This window comes from Homo sapiens, chromosome 2 (genome assembly GCF_000001405.40).
Source record: "Homo sapiens chromosome 2, GRCh38.p14 Primary Assembly".
Taxonomy (NCBI): Eukaryota; Metazoa; Chordata; class Mammalia; order Primates; family Hominidae; genus Homo; species Homo sapiens.
Window position 1 is genome coordinate 234,626,104 of NC_000002.12, and position 10,588 is coordinate 234,636,691.

Sequence of the window (10,588 nt, forward strand, 5' to 3'; positions counted from 1 at the left end):
CAATGAGATTCAATTCCTGAGCCTGTTTTATTAACTGGGCAGAAGACTGCCTCTCCAATGGATATATGGCCTGAGGTTTGAGCAGCCATCTTTCAATATCTTTTTAAAATTCCTAATATTGATAACTTCTACTTCTGTTTTGTTCTAATCAGTATGGCAAATGTACTGACTATTTCAAAGAACAAGCTTTTGGTTTCATTGATTTTCTCTATCATATTTCTTTTCTCCATTTCATTGATTTCTGCTGTTCATGCTATGATTTCTTTTTTTCTGCTCACTTTGGGTTTAATTGGCTCTTACTTCTCTAGTTTCTTAAAGTGTAAGCTTAAATCATTCATAAGAGAACTTTCTTCTTTCCTAATATGGGCATTTAATGCTATAGATTTCCCCTCTAAGCACGATTTTAGCTGTATTGTACAAATGTTGATATGGATTTCATTTTCATTCATTTCAAAGTATTCTCTAATTTTTCTCATGACTGCCTCTTTGATCCATGGATTATTTAGAAGTGTATTATTTAATTTCCATGGCTTAGTTGGTTTTCCAGTTATAGGTCTATTTTTGATTTCTAGTTTGCTTCTGCTAAGCTCTGTGACTCATACAGGGGAGAAGGTCCCAGGTGTGCCTTATGCCCTTATCTCTGAGGCCACTGTTCCTTTCCACCAGGTGCACCATGAGGGTGGTTTTCTCCATCTCTGGGTCTCTTCTGATCTTTCTGGTGAGCATGCAGTGAGGCGTGTGGAGAAGAGCCTGCTAGTGGGTGTGAATTCCTCTTGTGTCTGCCATGCTTAGGGCTTCTCTGCACCCACTCTGGCCATCCCTTGGCCTTTAGCACTTTGTCAAACACTTTAGCTTAATCCTTTTTACTTGGCTTGTTTGGCGTCCGTTTGCTTCTGCCCGAGGTAAGCAAGGATTTACATCCTGTCTCAGGAGCTCTTTTCCTTTGATTTTGTTTTGTTTTTTAACTGAGGTAAAATTCACATAACATAAAATTAACCATTTTAAAGTGTACAAGCCGGGCGCGGTGGCTCACGCCTGTAATCCCAGCACTTTGGGAGGCTGATGTGGGGGATCACCTGAGGTTAGGAGTTCGAGACCAGCCTAGCCAACATGATGTAGAAACCCCATCTCTACTAAAAATACAAAAATTCTCCCAGTGTGGGGACTGGTGCCTGTAATCCCAGCTGCTCAGGAGGCAGAGGTAGGAGAATTGCTTGAACCTGAGAGGTGGAGGGTGCAGTGAGCCGAGATTGTGCTATTGCACTCCAGCCTGGGCAATAGCAAGACTCCATCTCAGAAAAGAAGAAAAGAAAAGAAAAGAAATAAAGTGTGCAATTCAGTGGCATCTAGTACCTTCACAGTGAGTGCAGCCATGACCTCTATCTAGTTGCAAACATTTTCATCATCCCCCAAGGAGACCCTGTACTCAGCAAGCAGGCACTCTCCACTCCCCTTTACCCAGCCTCTGGCAAACAGTAATCTGCTTTCTGTTCCTAGGGATTTCTCGATTCTGAGTATTTCATATAAATAGAATTATGGAATATGTGACCTTAGTGTCTGGATTATTCCTCAGAGTTTGGGTTAGTTTGGTGGTTCTGCAACCTCAGCTTTCTGATAGGGTTGAAAAAAGTGGTGCTTCTTGCAGATGACCTGGCATGTTGTTACTGCTGTTGTTAGAATGCCCTTTCCATCTTTCTGCATCCTAAGCAGAAGCTGGAAGCCCAACAAATTCCCTCTTGCAATTTTCCCCAGATCCACATCTTCTTCCTGAGTTGCCAGATTTGCTATTGTTATGTAAAGCAATTTCTTAATTAAGTCTTCAGCTCTTTGGTGTTTTGTTGTTGTGAGGGAGAAGTTATATGCTCTTATATAGAGGATATTTCTCTATTTTTGCAAAATCACAGTCAAAGAAGTGTCTGATAGGTTGTCCTACATACCTGAAGGTGTATAAAGATCAATGTAATGGATTCCACATAGATTTTAGTGTCCAAATATGTTTCTTTTCAGAAACCATGTTGGCTTTGCCTTATCACATAATGAGAAATGTAAAACTCATCATATTTTTCTATTTCCTTGGTTGTCAAGATGCTAAATTAACTTTCAATTGGATTAACTGATTGTATATTTCTGGAATATTTATATCTCTTTACCTTCTAAAAAATTTCTGATTTTTAATTTTTATTTTTTGAAAACATAGTTATGAAACAAAATGTGTGTAGTATGATATCAAATATTTGCATTTAAATATCTATATAGGTAAATTACAAAAAAAATTTTAATGAAATTATATAAAGTTGTCATGGACCTAATTCTGTATCAATACATGAAAAACTAACTCTTTTGTAAATTTCCTCAAGAAATCTGTGATAGATTACTCTCTCTCTCTCTCCATATATATATATATATATATATATATATATATATACATACACACAGTAAAATAGATATGCATGTCCAATACATGCACAGGAGGGCAATTAAAATATCAACTATTTATAAAAACAATCTGTAAGGAAGTATGAAAATGATAGGGAGGAATGCTAAAGGGTTATTTCCTTTATTATTGTTTAAACTTCTGTATTGTTTGAACTAGCAATCACAGATTACTGATATGGACAGGAGACAGGGAAATACTGAGTAGAAGAGGGTGGTTCCCTAGGAAAGGCCTCACTGTCAATTTGTGGCCCTAAATGGGAATAGGCATTTCTGTTTTCACACCCAAAAAGTTGCCTTTTGGCCTGCAATGCCCCCCTGTCCTGTACCCATATAAACCCTGAGCCCCAGGCTCCAAGAGCAGATGAGGAGACAAGAAAACAAGCAGATGAATGGCAGAATGGCATGGCAGAGAAAGAGAGAAGAAAAGGAATGTCTGAACGCTGAGAGGAGTTCAGCTGGGGGCGGTCAGAGAGGAGTTTGGCTGCTGGGTGGCCAAACTCCAGGGGAAGATCACCTTCCCACTCCATCCCCCTCCCAGCTCCCCATTCATCCCACTGAAAGCTACTCAGTAAAACTCTGCATTCATCCTTCAAGTCCACGTGTGAGCTGATTCTTCCAGGACCCTGGACAAGAGCTCAGGATACAGAAAGCTGTCACACTGGTCCTCTGCCCTTGCAGAAAGGCAGAGAGGGCACTGAGCTGGTTAACTCTTAAGTCATCTGTGGGCCACGTAACTAAAAGAGCATTGTAACACTGGGGTTGCAGGCACCCACCCTTAGACACTACCATAGGGCCAGAGCTGAAAGCGCTTGCCCTGGTTCCTGCACCTGCCCGTCTGTGTGATACCCCTCCTGTCAGGGGTTTGAGCATTGGTAGCGACTGAACAGGTGAGCCACACCCCTGTGGCACATTCTGCAAGGGGGACCAGGGAGCTATCCTGTTTTTTCACTTTTACTGTTGTGAAAGGAAGAAAATATGCTATAAAGAATAAATGAAATAATACACATATATAGTAAATGCAACCAAACACATAGCTAGCTCAAAGTGCTCAGAATCATGACACTGAATCAAACAGCAGCCACTAAAAATCCTCATCCTATGCTCTTGCAGAATGCTTTTTCCGAGGGAGGCTTTCTATCACCTAAAGACATCTGAGATTCACAAAATAATGTCTTGTCACAGTACTGAGGCAGAGGCCCGCTGTAGATGCTGCTAGAGGAGGCTGTCATGATTGAGCCTTGAGATGCTTTCCAGTTCTAAGATTTTATGACTCAATTCTCTCTCTGCTGACAATTTCAGACTTACTGTTGGGGGCCCACACATAATAGATCAATGTCAAAACAAAATTAAACACACGAGGCCTGTTGTAAACAATGTTTCTGCATAAAATGAGCCTGGATTTCAATTCTATTACATAAATTCTATTAAAGCTGTCTTCTAAGGGAAGAAGTTATGGTGCAGATTGTTAAAGATGAACAACATTTTCAAAGGCAGGCCAAAGAGATATAAATTCCTTTTGTTAATTAAAATCATGGTCATCTGAACTATGCCTATATTTATAAGCATTCACCATAAATTTTCCCTTGAATGACTTATCTTAGTTTGTGTTAACTCTGGAGTCCTCTTGCCTGATGTCTTTTTCAAAACATTCTTCAGTTCTGTTAGGTGTGTGTGCATGTTTCAGTAGTTGAGAAACAGGCACACAAAAACCAATGCAGATTTTTTTTACTCTGGAGCACATTGTTATTGTCCAAAGGCACAGTTCAACCTTCATTATTAAAGGAGGTATTTTTGGTTTTGAATTATTATTTGTATTCATGTATAATACAAATGTATAATTCATGTATAATTCAGAGCTGCCTAACTGCCAGGTTTCTAGAGGTGCAGAGGATAAGATGAGGATGTAGAATTTGAAAGTCAACCCAAACATCTTAAAGTGAAATCGCATGATGAGGGAAAAGCGGGCTTAACAGAATAATTTTTCGTGACTGCCGTAGTGCAAACTTGAAGAAATTTACAGGACATTTGCAGGAGTGTGGATAACAATAAACCAAGCACACCTGTGATTGTTTACATGGACAATGAAGTCAAAGTTACCCCACAGTCGGTACTGTCTTATCTAGAATGGTTACTTTCCAATTGTCTAAGAATTTAAGAGACTCATAATGCTCTGCTTAGTAAGTTTCTATAATGTAGCCTCCCTAAGGAAATAGATGTACTTTGTAGTTAAAATGAAAAAATAAAAAAATAAATATTAAAAAAACAGCTTATGAATAAACAATGGAATGTGAAACACCTCAGGCTAGAGATCCAGTTCTGAGCTGGCCACTCCCCTGACCTCTCAGCATGTTAAGAAAAAGCAATAGCACATCTGGCTCAGCATCCAGCCTGTCTCTCCCGGCAGCTTGAAATGCTGTTCTTCCTCAGTCTCAGAAGCAAGTTTACTAACAAATCTCACAAAGAGGAGGAAAACAATCGGTTGGAGGTGAAGTAATAAGCAAGAACAAATCATAATAACTGTGACATTTCCAGGCTCTGCTTTCATTCCCCTTGCTGGTTTTAAATTCCAGGAACCAGCCAGCCGGCTCCGTGTGTCAGGGGCAGGAAAAGTCCCCGTGCTGGGAAGCCGAAGTCACTTCCAGCTCTGGGACTTTTATGAAAGGTTCCCAGACTCCTCATTCCTTAACTGGGGAGAAGAACCTCTGTTCTGACTGCCTTTCTGAGTCACTGGTGAGAAATTGATGAGGGTCGGGACCTGGAACCCCGCGAGGGGTCAGTTTCATCTGCGGGCAGTTGTTTCCCCAGTGCTCTCTCAGGGAAAAACACAAGTCTCCCAAGCACCTGCCCTACCTTCTAAATTTAGAGCTAGTAATGCCTGGTAGAGTTTTTATAATTTATTTATTATCATAATTGTTGTACCTAGAATGAAAATTATTTCACAATTTGAGATAGTTTTGGTTACAACTTTCTTAAGAAGTGATAACAATAACGGGTTAACTTAAATTCACCTCATACTAAAATGTATTTACTGGTTGCCAGAACCCAAGGAGCAGAGCCCTGAAGCATATGGTTTTTGTTGCTGTTGTTTGTTTTTGTTTTTGAGACAGGGTCTCACTCTGTCACCCAGGCTGGAGTGCAGTGGTACGATCACTGCTCACTGCAGCCTCCACCTCCCAGGCTCAAGCAATCCTCCCACCTCAGTCTCCCACATAGCTGAGACTACAGATGCACGCCACCACACCCAGCATGGAAGTATTTACACGACAGCAAGCAGCAAATGCTACAAACCAAGGCTTCCTCCCCCAAATCCAGATGTTAAACATTTGCTAGCACATCACTGGTCTCCATTCTTATGCATCCAGACAATTACAGCACAAGGGCTACAATGTCAGAGATAAATCCATGGTCTGAGAGCAGGTCTTGACTCCTGCACACTGAACTTCTACAGGCACAACAGTTTCTGGGTAGGATGCTCAGTTTCTAGTAGTTTCTAATAGATGAGCATGAAAACGGACAAGTTTGAGTCCCATTTCTTCACCTTCTGGTGTCAAAGGCTAACAGGCAGAAGGGGCAAGAATCTGAACCAACTGGATGATCAGTGCCTTAGCAATGGATCAGTCTTCTTTTTCACCATTGGTCATTCAAAGCCCAGGTTAACAAAATGTTTTTAAACAAAAGAGGTGTTTGCAGAAGTGTAAATGGAGGCGCTCCACGAGAAAGTGGGAGGGGATCGGAGCCTACCTGCTGGGATCTCTCTTCTTGCTCACAGCAGGACTGAAAAGGGAATTCCTCCATTGCAGGGTATACGGCATGGAAACCTCTGCCACAGCCAAGAGCAGATGGTTGTTGATGCTAAAACTCACACACCAGCCTCGCTTCCACCCACGAAAGCAGTTTTCCCCAGCAGCTATTTACAGAGGCGCCGGTTTCACCTGAGAACCAAAGGTTCTCCACAGTGAGGATCTGTTTTGAACGAAAGAAGGGTTTTGTGTAATGACTTCTAGGCCCAGGAAAGCAGCCTGGTCCCCATGCTGATGGCAGGAAGAGGCGCTGCGTAAGGCATCCTCTGTTGCAAGCGAGTGAATGCTGGTAAGAAACCAGGAGAGACCAAGCGGAAGGTTGAATCTTAAAATGTCTTGTTTAAGTGTGTAGCCGGCACCTGGGGAGAAAAATCCCAGCCTTGCTAAAAACATTCCAGTAAGATCAGTAAGATCACAAATAAGCTTTGTCTTCGGGTTTCTGGGAAATGATCCAGGATCCGTGGATCTACAAATGAAGAGAAGTTAACCCCAAGTCTGTGTGTATAGGGGGGGATAACCACATACACGTGTGGAATACTTTCAAACACTGGTGTGTCCATACTTTTGCCAGTCATCATAAAAGTCATTTACTTGGTTAATTTGTGGGTTTCATGTTTTTTTTTCCCCCAATATTGTAATAGTTTCTAATCCTGTACCGTTAAAGCTGTAAGAAGAGTCATAGTTTACACTGTCTTCCTAATCACCCATACGCATGTAGTTAATGGCTTATCTTTTTTCTGCCAGTTCTAAAGCATTCCAGTATATAGACTTGACCACAGTTGAACATTTTGCAGATGTGTTTATTTTCTTTGAGTCTCCCTAGGCTTCTTGCACCAAGTCTGCCTGTGTGTCTGTGTGAGCTGTTTACGCTCTGCAGCTGCTTGAAACTCTGATCCAGCCTCTTCCTGAACATGTCACTGTCTATGTGGCCAGATCTTCTCTCCCACCAGCCAAGTCAGTCTTCCCGAATTCCTGTGCTCTGTCCCATTGCCACTGCTGCTGGTGCCAGCTCTCAACAGGACAAAGAATAGGATTGGGAGAGGAGAGAACAGGCAGGGGGTTGTGTACCATCAGTCATGTTCCATCCACCTTTCCCATGATAAATTCAGAAAGAAGCACTCTGGTGTTATACATCTGTCTCTTGTGAGTTAGCACAGTATGTGTTCTTTTACCCCATCTACTCACTTCACATAAAAAGCCTCCCTTCCAGGGTAACTGGATTCAGGGCTTCTTTGTAGAGGAAAGCCCTGTCTTTGTTTCTTTCTCTTCTTATAGCATAGAGTACTTGCCCCCAAATTCAGACTCCTGGGGAAGTGGAAAATTCCACTTGGGCCTACAGTCCCAGGCTGAGTTCTCCATTCCAGTCTAATCAAAAAGGCCCGAATTAAGCCACTGAACCAAGTACTGGCCCAGCCACAGAATGGACTTTTATGTCCAGTTCGCTGACGTCCCTCATGGATACAGGGTGCTGAGGTGGGACTCAAGTTATATAGGGGAGTGTTAGAAATTGAACCCTTAAACCCGAGCTCCTCGTGCAGACAAACACATCTAATTCCAAGTTAAACAGAATCTGAACCAATAAAAACATTTTACCCTGAGGATAGAAACATGCAAACAAGGTGAATCAAAACAAAGAAAACCTGTTTGCCTTGTCTTAAACATCCAGAACTATTTACCTCTCTCGTCATTAATAAAATCTCTGTATAAATATTTCCCCAGGAGGCAGCTTCTGGTGACGCACAAATATTTTTCCATTAAAGGAGACGAGACATTGCCTTCTTTTTGATATCACCATTCTGACTCCTGATGGAGAGACTGATGCCTGTGAGGCATACCTGTCCCCAACAGGTAAATCCAGGAGTAGGGATTCTGCCCTCATTTCCCCTCGATTGCTACTACATTCTTTTTTTTTTTTTTCCCCGACAGAGTCTAGCTCTGTCGCCCAGGCCGGAGTACAGTCGTGCAATCTCAGCTCACTGCAACCTCCACTTCCTGGGTTCAAGTGATTCTTCAGCCTCACCCTCCCAAATAGTTGGGATTACAGGTGCCCACCACCACACTCAGCTGATTTTTGTATTTTTAGTAGAGATGGGGTTTTGCCATGTTGGCCTGGCTAGTCTTGAACTCCTGACCTCAGGTGATCCGCCCACCTCGGCCTCCCAAAGTGCTGGGATTACAGGCATGAGCCACCATGCCCAGCTGATTGCTACTACATTCTAATGGTTGCTCTTGGAAGTTCCTGATGTACAGTGGATACTGAAAATTAAAGTTAAAAGAGCTTTTAACAAAAAGCAGTACTGGAACAGGTGAAATACATCTTGGAAATGCTAACTGTAGGCAATGGAAAGTCATTGAAGGTTTTGGAGCAGAAGAAATTAATGATCTGAGTAATGGGGATAGTAATGTATATAGTGATTCTGAGGGGAAACTTAGAAACAGGAAGATCAGATTGGCAGCTAACAGGAAGAAATCAGAATTAAGGTAGTTTGAGTCAGAAAGGAGAAAAAATTCTTTACAAGACAAAGTGAGATGAACAACATATTGATAGGCTATGAGGGAGATTATCTGCCATGTTGGGATAAGATGAAGACAGGAAAAATATTTTTACTGAAAAGAGTTGGGTGAAAACTAAAGTAACTCCACATGTAATGCGTTTAAGTATTTATGAGAGACTCCAGTGTAGATAACCAGCAAATTACTGGAAATACAGAGTTACAGTTTGGGAAAATATTAGGTTTGGATTTGAGATCTTGTATTTAGAGGTGATTTTTGAAGAGGGTGTGGCGAGAAAGAACAAATGGAGAACTTAGAAAAACATATTGATTCTCTTTATATTATAAAAGGAATGCTGTTATATTGGATGCCATAGCATCTCCCAGGTCCAAATATTAGGTTTGGATTTGAGATCATGTATTTAGAGGTGATTTTTGAAGAGGGTGTGGAGTGAAAGAACAAATGGAGGACTTAGAAAAACATATTGAGTCTCTTTATATTATAAAAGGAATGCTGTTGTATTGGATGCCATAGCATCTCCCAGGTCCAAATCCACCAACTTTCTTTGCCCTGATTTGTGGGACTATAGCTGGACCTTGTAAACATTTCTCCTTCTCCAGCTGCTGGAATGTTAGGCTTCATCAACAGAGGGTGCTGGAGTGACCCTATCAGGCCACAGCAGCAGAAACTCTTCCACTTTGCAGTCTATTCAGCATGGGACCTGATATGGTTTGGCTGTGTCCCCACCCAAATATCACCTTAAATTGTAATAATCCCCATGTGTCAGGGGCAGGGCCAGGTGGAGATAATTGAATCACGGGAGCAGTTTCCCCCATACTGTTCTTGTTGTAGTGAATAAGTCTCACAAGATCTGATGGTTTTATAAATAGGTGATCCCCTGCACAACCTCTCTTCCCTGCTGCCATGTTAAGATGCGACTTTGCTCCTCATTCACCTTCCACCATGATTGTGGGCCTCCCCAGCTATGTGGAACTGTGAGTCACTGAAACTTCTTTATAAATTACTCAGTCTTGGGTATGTCTTTATTAGCAGTGTGAGAACAAACTAATACGGTAAATTGGTACTGGTAGAGTGGGGTGCTGCTGTAAAGATACCCAAAAATGTGGAAGTAACTTTGGAACTGAGTAATAGGCAGAAGTTGGAACAGTTTTGAGGGCTCAGAAGAAGAGAGAAAAATGTGGGAAAGTTTGGAACTTCCTAGAGACTTGTTGAATGGCTTTGACCAAAATGCCGATAGTGATGTGGACAATAAAATCCAGGCTGAGGTGGTCTCAGATGAAGATGAGGAACTTGTTGGGAACTGGAGTAAAGGTCACTCTTGCTATGCAAGGAGACTGGTGGCACTTTGCCCCTGCCCTAAAGATTTATGGAACTTTGAACTTAAGAGAGATGATTTAGGGTATCTGGTGAAAGAAATTTCTAAGTGGCAAAGCATTCAAGAGGTGACAGATCATAAAAGTTTAGAAAATCTGCAGCCTGACAATGCAGTAGAAAAGAAAAACCCATATTGGGGGAGAAATTGAAGGTGGCAGCAGAAATTTGCATAAGTAACCAGGAGCCAAATGCTAATCACCAAGACAACGGGGAAAATTTCTTCAGGGCATGCCAGACACCTTTGCAGCAGTCCCTCCCCTCACAGGCCTGGAGCCCTAGGAAGGAAAAATGGTTTCCTGGGCCAGGCCCAGGGACCCCCTTTTCTATGCAGCCTCTGAACCTGGTACCCTGCATTCCAGCTGTTTCAGTTCCAGCTGTGGCTAAAAGTGGCCAACCTACAGCTCAGGCCATTGCTTCAGAGGGTGCAAGCCCCCAGCCTTGGTGGCTTACACATGGTGTTGGGC

General features: G+C 42.1%; 1 long non-coding RNA gene across 1 annotated transcript in view; it reads right to left on the reverse strand.

Moving 5' to 3' along the window:
• The window catches only part of LOC105373936 (uncharacterized), a 36,506-nt gene extending 29,901 nt beyond the window's left edge, over positions 1-6,605 (reverse strand). Inside the window, exon 1 of the long non-coding RNA XR_923998.3 lies at positions 6,178-6,605. This is a non-coding gene — a long non-coding RNA (uncharacterized LOC105373936). The remainder of the gene's footprint in view (positions 1-6,177) is intronic.
• Between the last annotated feature and the right edge of the window lie 3,983 nt (positions 6,606-10,588).